The sequence below is a fragment of the Homo sapiens genome, chromosome 6, assembly GCF_000001405.40.
Source record: "Homo sapiens chromosome 6, GRCh38.p14 Primary Assembly".
Taxonomy (NCBI): Eukaryota; Metazoa; Chordata; class Mammalia; order Primates; family Hominidae; genus Homo; species Homo sapiens.
Genome location: NC_000006.12, coordinates 77,105,135 through 77,126,798, shown reverse-complemented (window position 1 = coordinate 77,126,798; position 21,664 = coordinate 77,105,135). Strand labels below are relative to the sequence as shown.

General features: G+C 36.4%; 1 long non-coding RNA gene across 2 annotated transcripts in view, besides 1 other annotated feature; it reads left to right on the top strand.

Annotated features, from left to right (window-relative positions):
- LOC101928570 (uncharacterized) overlaps nt 1–21,664 on the top strand; it is a 248,816-nt gene that overhangs the window by 190,681 nt on the left and 36,471 nt on the right. The gene's annotated exons all lie outside the window — the stretch shown is intronic.
- Nucleotides 10,680–10,849: an enhancer, noted in NCBI's record as "experimental_95009 CRE fragment used in MPRA reporter constructs". NCBI's record gives its function as "activates a minimal promoter by MPRAs in K562 erythroleukemia cells, with activity observed for the non-introgressed 6:77825752 variant allele {active_cell/tissue: K562}" and the evidence as "EXISTENCE:reporter gene assay evidence [ECO:0000049][PMID:34662402]".

The window sequence follows — 21,664 nt, the reverse complement described above, 5'->3', positions numbered from 1 at the left end:
AGTGCGGATAAGAAAAATGTGTATTCTGAGGTTGATGGGTGGAGCGTTCTGTAGATGTCTATTAGGTCCAATTGGTCAAGTGTCAAATTTAACTCCACAATTTATTTGTTAGTTTTTTGCCTCAATGATCTATCTAACACTGTCAGTAGGATATTGAAGTCCCCCAGTATTACTGCCTGGCCATCCAAGTCTTTTCATGTATCTGGAAGTAGTGGTTTCACAAATTTGGGTGCTGTAATGTTGAGTGTATATATATTTAGAATAGTTAAATCTCCTTGTTAAATTGAAAATTTTATCATTATGTAATGACCTCCTTGTCCTTTTTTGTTAGTGATCCTTTAAAGTCTATTTTATCTAATATAACAGAAGCAATCTCTGCTCTTTTTTTCCCATTTGCATGATAGATCTTTCTCCAATTCATTATTTGAAACTATGAGTGTTGTTATGTGTGAGGTGAATTTTTTGACAACAGCAGATGGATGGGTCTTGTTTATTTAACTGGCAACTCTTTGCCTTTCACATGGGGCATTTAAACTGTTTACATTCAAGGTTAATACTGATATGTATGGCTTTGATCCTATTGTGATGTTTTTAGCTGGTTGCTTTGTAGTTTCTATCATATGGTTGCTTTATAGGGTCTGTTGGCTATGTACTTAAATGTGGTTTTATGGTAGCCAGTATCATTCTTTCATTCCCATTTTTAGAACCTTGTATCTCTTGTAAGGCTGGTCTAGTGGTAACAAATTTTCTTTGTGCTTGTTCGCCTGGAAGATTTTATTTCTTTTTTCACGGATGAACCTTAGTTTGGTAGGATATAAAATTCTTGCTTGGATGTTCTGTTTAAAAATGCTGAAATAGACCCATAGTATCTCCAGGCTTCTAAAGTTTCCGCTAAGAAGTCTGCTCTTAGCCTGGTGGGGTTTCCTTTGTATGTAATCTGACTTTTTCTCTATCTGCCTTAAGGATTTTTCCTTTAGTGTCAACCTTGGACAGTCTGATGACTATATGAGTTAGTGATGTTCATTTCATATATTGTCTCTCAGATGTTTTCTGAATTTCCTGTATCTGGATGGCTATCTCTCTTGCAAGATTAGAGAGATTTTTACCAATTTCCTCAAATATGTTTTCCTATTTGTTTACCTTTTTTCCCCTCTCAGGAATTTCAATAATTCATAGGCTTGGTTACTTTACAGAATTTCAAATTTCTCAAATATTATGTTTGTTTAAAGTGTTTTTTATTTATTTTTGTCTGACTGTAAAAGATTGATTTTCAAGTTCTAAAATTTTTCTGCTTTGTTCAGACTAATGATAAATCTTTCAGTTGTACTTTGAAATTACTTAAGTTTTTTTTTTTTTTTTTTTTTCAATTCTAGAAGCTCTGCTTGACTCCTTTTTAGGATTTTTATTTCTTCCTTCATTTCCTGGATTGGGGTAGAAGTTTATTTGTGTTGATTTTCTACCTTGTTTTAGATCTCATTACGCTTCCTTGCAATCCATGCTTTGAATTCTTTTTTTTTTTGGCTTGAGTTTCTTTTTTTTTTTAATTTTGTTATTATTATACTTTAAGTTTTAGGGTATCTGTTATTTCTGAGTTTCCATTTTGGTTAGGAATCATTACTGGAGAGATAGTGAGATCCTTTGGTGAATCCCACATTCAGATCTTTCATGGTGCCAGAATTCTTGTGCTTACTCCTTTTCATCTAAAGACACCGGCACGTCTCATTTTTGTAATTATTTTCATGCACGTAGGATTTTTTCCCTCCTTTCCCTATAATATTATTGTTGCCTTTTACTTTCCTTTTTTCTTTTTCCTTTTCCCAAGGTGGCGTGACTGTAGAGAATGCTGGGTAGGATATATTGGCTTTGCTTCTATAACCCTATGCAGTTCTTTTATCAGACTTTGTATTGGGCTGTGCAGTTTGACTTACAAGGCAGTAGAGGGTGCTTATGGGTAACAGCTATCTGCAGCCAACATAGCTAGGTGTATACTTAATCTTTGTTTACTGGGTCTCAGAAGCTCTCTGTTACCTCAGGCAATGGGCTGATTCATGGAGTGCACAGTGGTCTGAGCTCCCTGCTCTACCCTGGGAGGTTTGAAAAGCAAAATAAATGTGGTCAGATTAGGCAGGCCAACCTGCAGGTCCTCCAATGGCAGGCACAATCACCAGTGCTGAAGGAGAATCCAGAGGACAGACACTAAGCAACCAGAGGCGAGCCTAGACATGGACCTAGGAAACTTCCTAGGCCCCAAGTTCTCTTTACAGAAAGTGGGGCAACCTGAATTCTTAATCCAGGATAGTGAGTGCTCCAGATTTATGGATATCTGCCTGGCCATGAAGCAAAGAGGACCCCTGTGCTCCAACACACACACACACACACACACACACACACACACACACTCACCCCAGGATCTCGGCACAAGAAGGGTGGGGTGGGTCAGGCTGGTGATTCAGGCAAGCATGTGCTCTGAATGCCTGAAGATCTGCTTGGGGTTGGGGCAGAGAGGGTCCCACTGCACCACAATCTGCTTCCATGAAGGTTGGGGTAGCTTAAGCTGCAGGTTCAGGCAAGTGAGTGCTCCAAATGCCTGGAATTCTTCCTGGTCATAGAGCAGAGAGGGCTCCACTGCACCATGATCTCAGTGGAGTAGTCTGGGGTACCTAGCAATGACACATGCAGAGTGGCTCCAGGTCATCAAGTTGGCCTTGTCTTCAAGGCCACTTGTCACTCAGAAGAAACCACGGCAGTAGCAGCTTTCCTACCACCCCAGGTCTGTGAGAGGGCAGAGCACAATTCCAGAGTTTACTACTCAGCTGCTTTTCAAAATTCTGTCTGTTAAGTCCCCTCACTCACTCCAGAACAAGGGCCCCAATCTCTTGCCCAAGACAGAAATGTCCATACAGCCACGCTGTCGGGTTGCCAATGAACAGATGAGTTTGTATGAGCCCAGATAAAAAATGGCATCTTGCTCTCAGTCCTAGATCTGGAAAAATGCCTGCAGCTTCTGGTGTCATTCCCTTTCAGTGCCTCCAAGCCTCTCCCCAAGTTAGCACCAGCACTTGGGAGAAAGTACTCTCCCTCAGCCTGGGATGCTTCACTCTTCGGTGGAAAGGTGAGTCACAGAAGGAGGCTCTCTGTCTCTTTCACATACTGGGGTTTCACTCACTTTTATCAGCTAGTTGCTGTCATGGGGGCTGTTTGGCTATGTTATCCTCCCTGGGATCTGGAGTGTCCATAATTTTAGTGTGTTCCTATTTTCCTTTTTGAATTAAAGCTCACAGAGTTGATGTTTATGCATTGTCTCGCTATTTCCAAGTAGCCGAGGCACACTAAAAACCTCTAATCCACCATCTTAGGGGAAAAAAAAAAAACACAAACACTTTAAATTTACAGAAAAGTTGCAATTATAGTACAAAGATTTCCCCTGTGGACCATACCTAGTTCTCCCTATAGTTTCCCCTACTTTTTATTACTATGGTATATTTTTCACAAATAATGAATAAATCATAATACATTAGGATTAACAAAAGTTTATACATTATTCAAATTTTTCAGTGTTACCTAATGTTCTCTTTTTCCTCTAGGATCTCATCCAGATAACATGTTATATTTAGTGTCTTAGTTCCTTAGGCTCCTCTAGACTGAGTTTCACAGATCTTCCTTGGTTTTTTTTATGACCTTGACAATTTTGAGGGGTACTGGTCAGGTATTTTATGGAAAGGTAATTGGCTGGAATTTGTCTGATGTTTTTCTCAGTAGCAGATTGGGTTCATGGGTTTTAGAGAAGAAGAACACAGAGGTAAACTGACATTCTCTTCTCCTTAATTTTAAGCTGCATTCAAAAGTACAACTACCCCACCTCCAAGCAGATCTCCAGGCATTCAGAGCACATGCTTGCCCGAACCAGCAGCCTGACCCACCCCACTCTTCCTGTGCAGAGATCCTGGTGTGTGTGTGTGTGTGTGTGTCTTTGTGTGGGGGGCCCTCTGCTCTATCACCAGGCAGATACTATCAACTTGAATTATCACGGATGATGCTAACTTCACATACCTGACTGAGATATTGCTTGTCAGATTTCTGTAAAGTTACTCTTTTACTCAAGTTCCTCTTTTTTAACTGTAAGGTGTTTTTTTCAATACTTCTTTTTCATACTGCACCTCTGGGAGAAGATCACTATGCGCAGCCTAAAATTAAGGAGTGGGGAGTTCTGTTGCACCATAAATGCATGTACATAAATTACTCTGGATTCTTCTGTATGTGATATTTGTTTAAACTGCCCATTTATTTATTTAATCATTTAGTTATATTAATATGAACTTATGGCTATTTGTTTTGCATTTTGTGTTATAAACCGGTACTCCTTTACTTATTGCTAAATTATTTCCAGCTTTGGCCATTGAGAGCTTTTTCAGTTGACTCCTGTGTCCCATTGACATACCCCCATTAATGTGTGTGACTCTGTGTGTGTGTGTGTGTGTGTGTGTGTATGTGTGTGTGTGTGTTTGTTGAAGCACTTTCTCTCTTTCTGGCATTATAAGATGTTCCACAGGCATCTTGTACATTCCCTGCCTTAGCCGTAGAATCAATCATATCTCCAAGAAGTCCTGGTTCATTTTATTGGAGAATGATGTTGGAAAGAAAGATCTGGGCACTTGGAGCATTCATTGCCACTGAGGAACCCTTGCTTCTAGGCCCTCTCAACTAACAAAGGAAGGGAATATATGTGTGTATAATAAGTTTTATATATACCTATATCTATAAATATTTACATATGTATTCCTCTGTATTTCTTCTGTGTTTGTATTATACTGATTACACTGATATCTCCAACTAATTAACTGCTTCATGAATCATACAGGTTTTCACCCCTTACTTATCTGAGCTTTTATAAAACTAATTATTAAAGTGTATAATCATATTATAGAACTGTTTTTTGTACTTCAATATAGGGTGATTGAAAGGGAAGTTTGTGAGCATTTATTTAAAAATCTGTCATTTAACAAATATAAAAACTGAGGCATATAGTCTGCATTCAAAAGAAAATAATTAGAGAATTTCATTTCACATATCTTTAAAATGACCTATAAATAGAGCTTTTCTAAGAATAAGTTGAATATATTCTGCTCTCACCTAGGATAATGCCTCTTGTCATTGACTTCTCCCTATGTTAAGTAAAAATTTCCTATCCTCCACTCCTTTGGAGCCTCTGAAAAGTCTACATGTCCCAGCACCTTTACAGTCAGGCAGGGAGTGACAGTGATACTTCCAGGCTGAAGGTGGTGAGTGAAATCCCAGGTGACCTTTCAGCAATCTCTTACCCTAAGGGGAAGCAAAAAGTATAAATTTTTTGTCTTGCTTTTGTTTATGTAATAGATAATAAATGGCAATTTATGTTAGCATTCAGCCACTTTGAAATGTTCTGTTTCAATTTTAGCTTAAAAAATCACACATTATACATAACCTTTTATTGTTATTGCTATTAAATTAAATGGCATTTATAGTTGAGTGGTTGTAATTCTGGGTATATTGAGTGATTCTGGAAATAAATGACAAGTTTTGTAATGACAATTTAATGGTATTGAAAGAGAAAATACCTGCTAGTAGAAATAAGGGATATTTTTGGGGGGATAATTTTTTGTTGTTTTTAGCACCTAGATTTAGCACTCTGAAAGGGTAGAGCCTATTTGTCAATTTAGGAGAATTCCAGGGGAGTAATTTCATTCTGGTGGAAGACTGTCAGATGCAGTTGAAAATGGAAATGGCTAAACTAGAGCTCATAAACTGGTGACAATAATTTTGAAGTGGATACATTTAGGCAAAATAAAAAGAGATTTTACACACACACACAACCATCATTATGTACATAACTAGGACATTTTATATTTAAATTACATCGTAGAAATAGTTGCTCAGAAAAGTTCACCTATCGATACCCCTGGAGAATGTGTAATCGCTTGAAATTATCTTAAATTGTATTTGATAAAGTCTCAGTGGAAACTTATATGTTTTGCTCAAATAATATTTTGTATTAAATATAGTTTCACATTTTCATTGTCATAAAAAGAGACTCTCACTCAAGTCACTATGAGGTTTGACATTGAAAAGACAAAATAATACATACATTGATTCCTACTAGACAGCTGGAATCTGAAAGCTCCTGAAGAATAAATGAAACAACAAAAACTGAGCCTGGAAAAAGTAATGGAATGGTATTTGTTCTAACACAATCCTTTCAGACTATATCAGAATTTCCCAAAACAAATAAATTCTTCTCTGGAATGTTTCTGAAAATCAGAAGAAATTTCAGAATACTTTTAGTTTAAGTTTTATAGATACCAAAATTAAAAAATCAAATGAAATCAGTTCAAAAACAAACCTCTTTGAACATCGAGTACTCAGAGATGGAAAACATCTGGGCATCATATTTGAGGAGCACACAGGCAGGGAAAGAACACAAAGACCAAGTGTAATCAGCACTCTAATAGAGCCTGGTATTCACTACTAGGAATACAGCGATGTATTCCTACATCTCTGTTTTGATTACAAGGTCTGGTTACAAGGTGGCATGAGGGGAAGAAGATAGGAACAGATAAAAGAGCAAGGTTTTATGCTCTCAGTTCATTGTCCAACAATTTAATACACAACTCTTAGACTCTCATTACACTAATCACTAAAATAATAAAGAATTGAGAACAATAAAGAACAAAAATGATTGCTGCCATAGTGCAGTCTTCCAGTGAGGACATGACCTTGTAGACACCTCACACTAAAATAGGATCTTAAAATTCGGGGCCCTCTGAAGACCCTGCTTTTTGGAATAGAGGATTTCTTCTTGAGAAATTATTTCATGTTGTATATTTGACTGAAATAAGAAATTTAAATAAAAGATACAATAGAAAACTAGAGACTATTTAGAGAAAAATGTTGGGCTTGAATTTGTTTTACTTAAGAAAACACAAAATATCTCCATTACCCATTCAGATTGAAGACATAAGCTGTTCATCTATCATAATGATTTTATTTATGTATTTGAAATATTAATAGAAGGATTTAATAAAATATAAGCAAAAGATGGCGGCAGCCTAAGAATTTGGCAATGAAGGAAATTATATTTTTCCTTAAAAGGTAAAATAAGCATACAAGATGAGAAGAAATCGTGAACATTACCAAAAGGGAAAATATGTTTTGATCCTTGAGGACAACTGAATGGATGAAAAGTATATGAACTCAGATAAGTGGAAGAGTAGAAGAGATAATGGTCAACAAAAATAGTCCAGGGAGCAACCAAAGAATTTTTAAGTGTGTTATGTATGTCTGCCCCCATCACAGAAAGCAAGCTTTAAGAGACTAATGACATTAAACATTTAAAATATGCAAGTGACCTTCTTTGTTCTTGTTCCGCACTTATTAAGAATGCTTCTTTTAATTTGAATTCCCATGAGCTGCCTTTAAAAAATATTCTCAGCCAAGTCACTATGAGATAGTGATGTTTCTGGACAGTTATTTGTCTCATTGTAAAGTATTAAAGAAGGAATATTTTTTGCTTTTTGTTCTGTTCTTCGGGAATATTTCATATCCCATGAAGTGCTAACTTCAAGACAGTTACAGTTCAATGATAGACATATAGAAAAAATTATAATTTATGTTTCTTAAAAGAATAACTTTTTGAAGCATTTGAGCAAAAGGCCACAAAAATGGCAAGCTGAACACCACCTCAAAGAAACCACAACTCATTTTGGTACTACTTGTGTTAACTAGAGAGATGAGGAGAAAACGTTCTAGTAGTAAAGAGGTACTATACCTAGGAAGGAGTAAACATAGGACATAAAAGCTATGGATTCTTACTTTGATGTCTGTTCCAGGAGATGTTTGGATAGCAAACGTATTAGAACACTAAAATTCCTCCCAGTATTCCCATTAGACCTGTATTCAAGGTTTATTTCAAGTTCAAATATACAAATAAAGCCTTGGGTTCTCTGTGATCACAGAGAGAGTAGGAGATGGGAGTTTTGGGGAAAGCTTCCCAGCAGCTGAGCATGGACTGGGCCATTTCTTCATTCTCCCTGTATTTAGCTTGCCCTTAGTAGGCCAGTCTGCTGTGCACTGAGATACACTACATGGAGCTGTACTTCTGTGAGACTATTACCTTCTCCTAAACTAAGAGCTCTGCAAACAGTCTTCAACAGATAAACTGCTTTAGCTAGTGCTCTTAGAAAGATAGTAGGAAGTATAATGTGGAATGGAATGCTTAGAACGGAAGTTCTATGGACTGCTGTTGCCATTCTTAGTGGAATTAGGCAGGACAGCAATGTTTGGAGGTCTAAGCATGGCCTGAAGTGGTAACCCACTCTCTGAGCTTGCCTTACCACTCCTCATTCTCTGGTCTGTGGTAATTTGCAGCTATGCTGAATTTCCTTTGTTTGATTAGATTGAAAAAAGAGAGGGACAATATACAATTTTTAACTGTAAAAATAATGATTGTAAATGATTTGAAAGAATTAAGTTCTAGATAATTGTAAAGCTCTTCGTAATAAACTGAAAATTACCCCGCACCTTATAGCTTCAGAGCTGGAAGGGCCTTTTGAGAGCTATTTAGTTCAAACATCTTTTTTCACAGATGAGAAATTGGATCTCCAGTTGCTGAGGCTTGAAAGAGAAGATATGGGAAAAGAAAGCTCATTCATAATTGAACAAATGAAATTTGAGTTTCTAGTAAGATGTCTGGTGGGAAATATTAATTAGGCATTAGGAAATTTGATCACAGAACAAGGATTCTTCCTCTTTCTATATAGTATTTATTTTGGAACAATTTTTTTTTCCAAAATATTATGGCTCTGATAAGTATCACACATGTGTTCCACCAAGAAGGATTATATTTCTCTATCTATTAGGAACAAAGCAATTAAACTAATATTACTCCAAAATTTTCCACCAAGTCCTTTCTCTCTAGGATTATGTTTATGAATCTGCAGCAATTGTAGCTTTTCCTGGGCCTTCCTTTACTCTTTGAGAGTTACTCTCTAGAACTTCTGAACACAGTTCTTTTTGTAGTAGCCACATCCTCTATGTAAGTGCCTGAAGTCTGTGAATGCAGAACATGCTGCTGTGGGCCTCCAACTTCAAAACACAAACCTGCACAGGTGTTTCAATATGCATCGCTGGGGTGAAAAAGTCAATTACAACATAGGAGGAAGGTTAAAACCACATATTTGTCCCTTTCTCCATTGTTCAATTAAGAAAAATGTATCCGAAAATGAAGCACACTTGAAGCATTCTTTTATGGAAATGTCCTGGCTTCAAGTCCTATTTTAAAACCTAATGATTATCATTTCTGGTTTCCCATTAGAATCACTAAAGTTGTTTGTTTGATTGTTTGTTTTGTTAAATGCAAATGTCTGACTTGTCATCGGACAAGTGAAATTAATATCTTTGAGGAGGTAGACCAAATAATTGTAGTTTAAAAAAAAAAAAACTTGTCAGGTGATTCTAAGTACAACCAGGTTGAGAAACATGGCCCTAATTGCTGTGTAGTATTCTCCATCCACTGTTTCTGAAAACCCGCTCCACTCATTGTGACTCCTCCCAGTTTGGGCTCCAAATTCACAAGTGACAAAAAATTACTTGGGACTGAGACAGAGCTGGATGATAGGCCTAACAATATAGTAAGTGGTAGTTACTTTTGGCAGTACAATTCCTGAGATAAGGGAGGGATTTTGATGCTGTAGGCAACACCGTACAGTTCATCTTATACATAGGATACCAAACAAAAACCTTCTGAGCTCTTTCAACAAGCCATAGATACCAGTCAGCAAGGATTACAAGCAAATTTTCATATTATTTAGGTCTTCCAATTGGTAAACACTAGAATGCTTTGAGAGCCAGGCATATAATACGCACTTCAGAATTGAATCTGTGTAAAGCAGTAAGGAGTGGGGACACCCATAATGACCAGAAAGAAAGTGTCATATTCACACAAAAAACCCCCCAAAACAGTAGATTTTTTTTTTGGAGTTTGTCTAACATGTTATTAGCTACAGAAGTGTTCGTTTCTTTATTTTTTTAAATCCACATCTTCTTGTACTTATAAATTGTGCTCCCTTAGTTCTGTGGGGAATAATACACAGAACCACTGTGAAGCCCAATAGCTTTCATTGGCTGCTACCTAAAGACACACTGAAAATTTTCCATTGCCTTTCCCAAGGGTTCCATTAATTTTTGCCAGTGGGCTTTTTTGTTGTTGTTGTTGTTGTTGTTGTTGTTGAGATGGAGTCTCACTCTGTTGCCAGGCTGGAGTGCGGTGGTGCAATCTCGGCTCACTGCAACCTCCTCTTCCTGGGTTCAGGCGATTCTCCTGCCTCAGCCTCCCAAGTAGCTGGGCCTACAGGCACACGCCACCATGGCTGGCTAATTTTTGTATTTTTAGTACAGACAGGGTTTCACCATACTGGCCAGGATGGTCTCTATCTCTTGACCTTGTGATCCGCCTGCCTCAGCCTACCAAAGTGCTGGGGTTACAGGCGTGAGCCACCGTGCCCGGCCCCAGTGGTCATTTTTATTTCCACTCTCTCTCTAATAGGGATCTGAAAAGGATAGGAAGGAAATTTTGTCTGTTTGATTTGTGGTTCTTCTATGCCCACTGAAGGTAAATTGCTCACAAATCCAGGCTCAATCAGCTACAACAGAAGCTCACACAATCACCAAAGTATGGACACAAATTACAATATTTTAAATTTTATATCTTTAAATATAGCATGAGGTAATGATAATTAGTTACATATTTATCAGGACATCTTTTAAAGGATTTTCTATGTAGTATTTCAAAAGAAGACAAAGCAATTGCAGGAGAAAAATATTTGAACATACTTTTCTTATCTTCTCCAATAGAATGCAGGGACTGTGAAGACAGGAGGCATGCTTTACTCTATGTGTGTAATAGGTAGTGCTTATATAATGCTGAACACATTGAAGGCACCCAAGAAGCATTAGTTTGATCATATATAATTCTACATTGTGTATTATACAAAAAAAAAACCTATAAGGCATCATCTTTCACTGGGCTACAATAGATACTAGGCTGGTTTCCTCTGCATCTTGAGAAAGACTGGAGAGATATTCCTTTCAGTACTAATGAACACTACTATAAAAGTGCTGAATAGCTTGCTAGGAGGAACATAGCAACACAGGGACCCTGGGGAGGAAACCTTGAACTTTAGGTACACTAATATAAGAGGTTGCATTATCATGTTCATTTACTGTTTGTTGTTTGCTTGTTTTTTGTTTTTGCTGGAAATATTTTGAGACCATTTTTTTAGGTGTTGCTCTGGTAATTGTTGGGCTGCAAGTACCCACCGTTAATGTACCACTGCTTATGATTCCTCAAAAATCACTGTGTCTAAGCAGGGACACATGTCAACAAGAAAAGTTATTCCTACAAATTCATTTGTTCATTCAAAAATTTTATTGAGATTCTACTCTGTGCATGTGTTATTCAGGAAACTTGGGGCAGAATAAAGAACAGAGCAGACATAAATCTCTTCCCTCGTTATGTTTCAATTCTAGTGAATAGAATTCTTTTCAAGTATAGTTAAATATTCATGAATACTAACCAATTAGTGTAGTTGACAAAATGTTGATACACATTTTGCAGATGTTTAGTGGAATATCCATTAATTTAAATTTTATGGTTTTCCTTTAGCATTTTAAATCACATATGTATATAAGTGCATACATACATGTATACATGCACATACACATACTATATATAGTTATATAAATATATTTTATACAAATAAAACGTGAGTATATTTTTTTTCCTATTTTTACCTTTCTTGAGCCCATGACAAGCTCAAGTTTCTAGGCCCTCTTTCTAGTTCATAAAAATGGTACAACTGTTCTGGCCTAAATTCAATGTACTGAATTAGAGAAATGTTCGTTGGCTCAGTGCTAAAAATAGTGCACAAAACACAATGAATAAAAAGTGCTAAATAAAACCTGTGATATGCAAACCTTCAGTACCAAAATGGTGCAGAATACATATCGATTAATTCACATTAAGATTTCCATCAAAGACCAAAGCTTTTAAACTTTCAGGATATTTGAGGTCAATTAAGCTGTGATATCAGGATATTACTATATTTTTTAGGAAACCATCACTATTTTATTCTTCACTTCTGATCTTTTCCAAGACCTACAAAAGACACGTCAGTAACCTTTTGTCAAGGCATTGGTTTCCTGCAACCATTCTAGGAGTGTATGATAACAACCACAGCTTCATTTCTTGTTGCTTAAAGCAACAACAAACTCTATAGATATGTTCTAGGGCCAAAGGCTTCCACAGAATAAATGACAGTGTGCCCGTGATTTATTGACATTTTCTGTTTGTTTGTTTTTTTGAGATGGAGTCTTGCTCTGTTGCCAGGCTGGAGTGCAGTGGCATGATCTCGGCTTACTGCAACTTCCACCTCCCAGGTTCAAGTGATTCTCCTGCCTCAACCTCCCAAGTAGCTGGGACTATAGGCATATGCCACCATGCCCAGCTAATTTTTTTGTATTTTTAGTAAAGACAGGGTCTCACCATGTTGGACATGATGGTCTCAATCTCTTGACCTCGTGATCCACCTGCCTCAGCCTCCCACAGTGCTGGGATTACAGGCGTGAGCCACAGTGCCACATTTCTATTACCAGATGTAATCTTTTACTTCAGATAATTATTGTAGCATTCAAGGTGTTTTTGTAAAAAACGTTGAAACTTTTCAAGAACTGAATCTCTCCTTAGATTTTCCTCTTTTATGATAAGAAGATATTTGGGGCAACTTTATTTTTTTCAAAATTCAACTCAGTTAACAATGGCCCTGAATTATGTGTTCTGTTTCTTTTTCCCTGAGGTTTAAAAGAACATATGCATCCTTACAGTGTAAATGACCCTAGAATAATAGCCCCCATGAATATAGGCTATGTTCAAACTCATATTCAAAATAAAGGCATTAGAAATTCTAGTAATTTTTAGTCAATGTTCTGCATCACCACATCCAAAACAAGATGCTACCAGGAAAAAATCTTGATTAAATTTTACCTTATTTTCATCAGACTAATGGTAATAGCTGGTATATAATATGAAAAACTGTTTTTACTTTGAAATCAATTTCATCTTTTATTTTCTCATTTTAACAATTATACATACATATAATAGAAATTATGCAAAAATAGCAGCAACATCACTAAAAAATCACCCATAGCCCCACAGTACAGGGATACCCAATATAAATACATTTATATTCTAATATTTTCATATAATAAATATTTGAGTTTTTAAAGAGCTATAAACACACTATAGCTAAGATTTTATAGTCTGCATTTAGTAAATTATTGTTTTATCTTTAAAATTTTCTGCAGGACTGACTTGTAAATATTGTCTTTTAGATTTTGTCTTCTACCTGAGGAAGAGAGTGAGACAGAGTAACATATACATAGAACAACAAGGATGGTCGTGTGAAAGAAAAATCAAAGGAACAGTGTAATAGAAAGACAGTCGAGCTGGCACTCCAACTGCTGGAGCTGCTCCTGTCTATCCTGTCAATACCCAGCTGTGTTATGCCTTCTCACTCCATCAAAACATAAAATAAATAAAAGAAAAACGTATGTGCTTGTAATGAACAGACTCTAAAAGGGCCTTCAATTATACTCACCTTTTTGTATTCATATTCTTGTGTATTCCCCTTCCTTTGAGCATGAGTGGGACCTGTAACTTGCTTCCAACCAGTGGGACATGGCAAAAGTAATGAGATGTCACTTATACAGTTACATTATATAAGAAATAGTAACTGTCTTGCAAAGAGATTCCCTCCCTTGCTGGCTTGGCTAAAGCAGGTGACAATGTTGAGGAGTTCCGCATGGCAAGAAACTGAGAGTAGCCTCCAGGTAGTAGGCAGAAAGAAAGTGAGGCCCTCAATCTAACAGCCTTTCAGGAATTAAATTCTGCCAACAACCACATGAACTTAGAAATAAATCTTTCCCCGTTCAGACCTTCAGATGAGAACTCAGCCCTTTCTATCACTATGATGGTAACCTTGGAGAAGACCCAACTAAGCTATGCCTGGGCTCCTGATCCACAGAAACTGTGAGATAATAAATGTGAATTGTTTTAAACTGTTAAATGTGTGGCAATACTGTTATGCAGTAATAGGGAACTAATATGGTGATATTAACTATGTTTTGACACTGTGCTAAAGGTATAGAATTAAGCAAATATTATATAATGTAAGGGACTTCTCACTTCCTTGTTATGCAAATAATTTAAAACAATACAAATTATAAAATTAGTTGGTGCAAAGATCTGTTGAGGAAAGTAAACAGCAGAAAAAATTATTTTATTTGGAGAAATTAAGGATGCCTTCAAAGATAAGATAGATCTTGAGGAATAAATAAAGAACAAATGGAAAAAGAAGGATGAGAAGGAACTTAGGGGTATAAGTCAAATGAAAATGGACTGATGTGAGATCAATTTCTCTTATGTATGGAAAAGGAAAACCAATCAGTAAGCAAAGTGGTGTCTTTGGAAGAACACTTGTGGCAGCAGGGAATGCAAAATTGTACCTCATGAAGAGTACCATTTCATTAGGTCAGCATTAGGCACATTTTTTCATTGTTTGTCTCTCTTCCTCAGCTCTCCTGTACATCTCCCAACTAGCAAACATTCATATGTGTGTGAGCACATACACACAAGCACAGTAACAACTGGCTTTGTGATTTAGAAACACACTGGCTTTCCTCTACTCTTTTGAATGTGTAGAAGAATATAAAGTATCAGTTTTCCAGGGAGCTATTATAATGCCTGGGACAGGTGGAGTATGCAACACTTGGGAATTGTGACAAGAGATAGGTGTCAGATGGGAATGTCTCTTCCTCAGTTTCTGGAAGATTGGACTCATTCTATAGAAATTAGAAAGTCAAGCACTGGTAACTAATTAGAAAATATTTCCTAGTCTTCTTATCAATATGTTTATATTTATATATTTTTAACATTTTAACAGCTTTATTAAGAAAAGCAATGGTGGAAGACCTTATTAGATTGACAATGAGAAAGACTATTCTGTAAGCTTTTATTAAAAGGTCTTCAATTGAACCTCTATAATGTTAATGAATTAGTGTCATTTATTCACATTTCTTTTTCTTTTTAGAGTTTTGTTTCCATACGTAAACCTTGTATAATGCAAATTTTCACTTACAGAGGGGTTACTTTTCTTCTTGATTGCAGGGGTTACTTTTCTTTTTAATGTTCTCTTCTTGATAGCAACCATGGCTATCAAGCCAATAATAAACTTCAGGTTATGGGAAAAAATTGATTTCTTTGACTTATGTTTATTTCATGAGTAAAGAGTGAGAAGGCCAGGCTCGGTGGCTCACATCCGTAATCCCAGCACTTTGGAAGGCCAAGGTGGGCAGATCACTTGAGGTCAGGAGTTAGAGACCAGCCTGGCCAACATGGTGAAACCCTGTCACTACTAAAAATACCAAAAGTAGTTGGACATGGTGGCAGGCGACTGTAGTCCCAGCTACTTGGGAGGCTGAGGCAGGAGAATTGCTTGACCCCTGGGGGCACAGTTTGCAGTGAGCTGAGGTTGTGCCACTGCACTCTGCCCTGGGCAACAGAGAGGGACTCCATCTCAAAAAAAAAAAAAAAGTGAGAAAATCTTTTATCTGTGGAAGTGTCTTAGTCTTGAAGAACAAAACTATTTGAAATTTAAAACTATAGAAAATGAAATAATGTTTACTTTTTATGGTTAACATTTTGGTGGTTTTTTAATCAATATACACTATTTATAATTCAAATTTTGAGGAATTACCTTTTTAAGCAATACATTCAACAAATTCATAGGAAGACTTGAATTACAATGTTTATACATTTTACCCTGGTGCATTAATAAAGCACAATTTAAAATCATATGTTTCTTTAAGCATTTAAAGAAAATTATTAGAAAATGATACTTGTCAATAGATGCACTTCCTTATTTGTCAGCCTCTTTTAGAAGAATACTCCTTAGAAGGACTCCAGGTGTGATTTTTTTTCGGTGAGAAAAACATACAAAGAATCTTTGTTTCTGGTCCTTCATCTGAGTAACATTTCACTACATATCTTTTTGCCTCATATTAACTATGTAATCAACTGGCTTTGTGATTTAGAAAACAATGAAATACCTGTTAAGTTTTCCATAAATCTCTTTCTGTAAGAATTATACACCCCAACTGTCATGATTCTATTCCATCGTTTTTCCCACCATCATGCCTACAGTTGATTGAACCAGTTAAGGATGTCTACTCCTAGCTAGACCAATTATTTTTCAATTTGAAATTTGGTATAAAGACTAAGAAAATTTGTATTTAATCTGGTTAGATCAAGAAAATAAAGAAACTAAACTCAGGAAACCAAGGTTTTTCATTTGTATATGAAGAATCACAGAGAACAAGCATGCAAGGAAAGAAGAATGAATCAGACAATGGAAAGATAAAAGGATGAGAGAGTGAAGAAGGTGTGCTGTTTAGGTTTCTGATGGCTTTCTACTTATTAGTTCCAATCATGGCCACAGTTATAAGGATCAACTGCTTTTGATTTCCATGAAATGGCAAAAGCTTCATCAAATGCATTTACTTATTTTGCTTAAGCTCACTTCAGTTTGGTCAGAGGCGTTTCAACCAGTGCAACTCCATGTTGAATAGGGGCTGGGTAAAATAAGGGTGAGACCTACTGGGCTGCCTCCGCAAATGGTTAGACATTCTAAGTCACAGGATGAGTTAGGAGGTTGGCACAAGATACAGGTCGTAAAGACCTTGCTGATAAAACAGTGTGCAGTAAAGAAGCCAGATGGCGACCACAGTAACCCCTGATCGTCCTACTGCTAGGCTCCCACCAGCACCGTGACTGTTTAAAATGTCATGGCCATGTCAGGAATTTACCCTATATGTCTAAAAGGAGAGGCATGAATAATCCACCCCTTGTTTAGCATATAATCAAGAAATAACCATAAAAATGGGCAACCAGCAGCCCTCGGGGCTGCCCTGCCCATAAAATAGCCATGCTTTCTTCCTTTACTTTCTTAATAAATTTGCTTTTAGTTTATTCTACAGACTAGCTCAAGAATTACTTCTTGCAGTAGATCCAAGAACTTTTTCTTGGGGTCTGGATCTGGACCCTTTTCGGGTAACAGCTTCTTTCTGTTATTTACAATTCAAATAGTCATAACTGAGGTATTTCCTAGTTCTCCTTCAAGTAGAAACAAAATGTTTTCATATTGGAAAAATTAATAGAATAAATTTTTCAGAAACTAAATGGAAAACTCAATATATATTCCTAATACTATAGACAGATTAGAGAGAGAGAGAGAGAGACAGAGAGTGAACTCCCAAAATCTGAGACAGGTTTCAATTTAGGATGTTTATTTTGCCAGAGTTAAGGAAGCATGCCTGTGACACAGCCTCAGGAGGTTCTGATGACATGTGCCCAAGGTGGTTGGAGCACAGCTTGGTTTTATACATTTTCGGGAGACCTAAGACATCAATCAGCATATATAGGATGAATGTTGGTTCAGTCCTTAAAGGTGGGGCAACTGGAAGCAAAGGTGGGACAACTCAAAGTAGGGAAGGGGCTTCCAGATCATAGGTGTATAAGAGAAAAATGGTTGCTCTCTTCTGAGTTTCTGATTAGCCTTTCCAAAGGAGGCAATCCGATATGCATTTACCACACTGAGAAGAGGAATGACTTTGAATAGAACGGGAGGCAGGTTTGCCCTAAGCAGTTACCAGCTTGACTTTTCCCTTTAGCTTAGTGATTTTGGAGCCCCAAGATTTATTAGATAGACAGGTTAATTTGAGACGCTGCTGTGGGATCATACCTCATTTTTGGTTGAGTTCCACAATATTTTATTGCACATATATTTTGGTCAGAAGGGAGACTCAGTAATGAGAAAAATATTTCTGTCTTTTGGAAGCTTAATGTAGCAGTGAATATATATGTCTGAAGAGAAATATTTAAGTGTTTGCCCTTAATTTTTTTAATGAAATTGTAATTGTAATTTTGTAATTTGGGGTAACACATGGAACGAGTTAAGAATGGAGTTGGGCTATCCTAGGGAGAGTCTTAAAAGGAGATTTATCAGGGCTACCGCCTTGCTCTAAATTATTCAGTAAAAGCAGCATTTAGTATATTTCTATGCCTCAGAAATATTTTGAGAATAAATGAAATAATATATGTGAAGTTTCTACATTGGAAAAAGGCAGTGCTATGTGTCTGTAAGTAGGGGAGAGATCTAGAATTCAGTTTCAGGGACTGCTTTTCATGGGCTTAACCAGGATTAGTATTAACTATAGATATAATTTTGTATCCTATTGCTGGGTTATGAAAACTAGCAAATAAGCAAAATTGATGTCACAGGTGGAAATGATTTACACTTGTAATTGACACATACTTCTGATAACCTGCAATTTGACAGGGAAAACAACTTATTCATAAACCTGTGGGCAGTATAATTTTATAATAGGCTGAATGCTTTAAAATGGAAGTGAAAAAATTCTCTCTGAATTTTAAAAGTTATAATTCAAAAGAATTCACAATGCCTATGAACAATACTATTTTCTGTATAACACCCACTTTGTCCTCAGCACCATATTAAATGTGATACAGCAAAAAAACAGTCTCCTTTCTCCTTTAAGGCATTTTCATCTCAGTAAGGCATAACCATTACACAGATTCCTCTCTTCTTTTGAAAAATGAGCTGGATAAAACTGGCAAATAGATTTGCTCTTCTATATATTGTTTCACTTGTTTGTTGGCATAAGGTAATGTTCAGAGTTACACCCATCTCACGTGAGTTAGGCACATGAATGTATAAGAGAGAGTGGAATTGGCTTCAAGCATGTGAAAAGAGACAACAATAAAAAGAAGTGAAGAATGAGCCATCTAGAAGGTCCAGGAAGGAGAGTAGGAGGGAGTAAATGTAGCCATGAGCAAAGCTTTTATTAGTGAAGCATAAACAGGAATGTGGGCATATTATGGAATATCTGCATGTCATGGCAATGAGGCAGATTAATGAAGGCTCTACAACCTAGAAACAATTAAATTTGCTAGAGAGTTTGAGAGTCTTGTAAAGAGAAATTTCCTGTACAAAGGAGGTGGTAAGAAAAAGTATTATGAGAGTATCTTGAGAGTTTTCTTTCCATTTTAAAGAATTAAGCCCCAAGGTATTCATTGCCTTAGGAAAGAAGGAGAAAGTGAGAAGTCCAAAAGTGTACCAAAGGAGTCTAAATATGTCTTGTGGGAAGAAAGAAAAAGCAGGAGATTCAAGGAAAAAATAAAATGGCCTAGAACAACTACATGGAGGGTGACAACTTCTATATTTACAAAGAAGTAACAAGGAAAGATGAGTAATAATTGGGGAATAAAACTTGGGTGACGGAAAAGACAATGTTCACGTTATTTCAGCAGGATGTGTTTACCTCTGGGCTCCTAGAAAACAACAAACAAGGGTGAGGGGAGGTCATTCATTTTCACACCCAACTAGGAGGGTGGCAGAAACTATTTCTAGGTTGTGTGACTCAGAGCAGCCAAGGCCTAGCCACTGAAATTCTACCTCCTGAGCTGAAAGGATCTGCACCTCTCTTGTAACTAGGTCTGAACTAGGTGTTATGTTTTGTTTTGCTTTCGTTCTAGGTTATATTGTCAGTGGCAATAAAAAAAAGTGAAATATTTCATTGGTTGGTTTAAACACAGACACATTGGCAGTAATCGCCATGAATTATATGATGAAATTAGCTCTGTTCTCTAGCAATGAGTAATTTTTTCCACAGAGTAAAAAAAAAATAAATAAATAAAATGAGATAAAAGAAACCGGAGAAAGAAACATAAAAGATGAAGCTTCATGACCAATAGGAAAGGGAGGAAGGATGAATGGGTGGAAATAAAAAGAATTGTCTATCTCACACATTCTAGGGCCTCTGTGAATATGTGTGGTATATTCACAAACAACATCTGTGAGGTGGATTTACTAAACATGTTTTATAGATGAGAAAATCTGCAAGGTAAAAAACAATCTGCTCACATTCATATATCCGGTGGCTTTATGCTCCTGACTTTTCATACATTTCCTTTCCAATAAATGGCTCTACCCTTTCTGTCTGGTAAAATCATATTCATAAAGCCATGCTTGGCCCTAATTTTCTCTGTGAAGATTTCACCAACATTTACCTAACAATAAAACTGTTTTCAATTAACATAAGTCCAAATTCAGAAAAATAATATTGCCTCGAATGTGCAACCTTAGTACCGCTGACCAAGACAGTTTTAATTTCCCTTCAGCTTGCCTAAACTTCAGAGAAATTTCTTCCTGACACTAGTCCCCTGATTTCCCTTTTGTTAGAACTACTTTAGAAAACTTGTAATTTGAATTTTTTTCTCTGTCTCTTTTGTAATGTACATAAATCTTCCAGCCTCTTGTTAATTTTAGAACCCAAGGGTGTCTTTCTTAAGGACCTGGGAGTCATCTTGTTGAAACGTAATCATGAAGGCAAATGTGCTTCTATTGCCTAGTCTCTGTGGGAAGGTATGAACATAACTTCCATGGACACAAATTAGCAAACACAGATGGTTTAATTACAGAATGAAATATTCACAAACTCAGAGATAATTCCATATACTCCACATATCCTATTGATCAACCTCACCACACCCAATATCCTTCAGCACTTTTCCACTAGCTCACTCCAGAGCTTAAAAAGCCTTCTGCCTCTTGTTTCAGTGGAGTTATATTTAATCTCTCTCCTCTATTGTAATGTTGTAATAGTCTTGAATAAGTCTTTCTTGTCTAACTTTGTCCAGTGCAATTGTTATTTGACACTGAAAGAGAATAACATAGATGAGGGTAATGGTATTATCCTGGGTTATCATTGAAGAGGGACTTATTACTTGAGCACCTATTATGTACAAAGAGCTACACTAAATACTTTTATTCATAATCTCATTTAGCTGTTATACTATTTAATCCTGTTAGGAAGCTGTAGTCATCCTATTTTTTTGCAAATGAGAAATGAGCTGAAGAGAAATTAATTTATTAGGTAGATATGTATAGATATAGATTAATATGTAGGAAGGTTAGGATTCTAATCCTGGTTTGTTCCCCCAAAACATGTTCTTTTGTACATTTTTGCATACTACTTTCCAAAGTGTTTTTGCATATCTTAACTAAATATTCCTTTTCTAAATCTTATAAAATAGATGTTATCACTCTCATTTTGTAGAAAAATATATTGGAGATAAACTGGTAAATATTTTGTGTATGGTACATGGTGATGGTCAAAACAGAAAGTTATAAGCTATATTTTGAAAAATTTATATCTTGGGGATAAATGAGAATGAAACAGAAGTTACAGGTGTCAGCCAAGTGAAAGAAAATATGAGTATGTAGGCTTAGGAGCATTGAAAAGACAAGCACTTAGCTAAGCATTGAATCTTGCCAGAGAGATAGTACGTTAGCAAATATTTACATGCCTATTACCATAAAGTTAAATATATACTATTGTCTACTTTATTATCATAAAGTTGTGTTTCTAAGCCTGTTTGAGTAACGGATAAGAGAGCTATTCTTTACTATTAAGTGATTGTTTTACCTGTTTTAAGGCT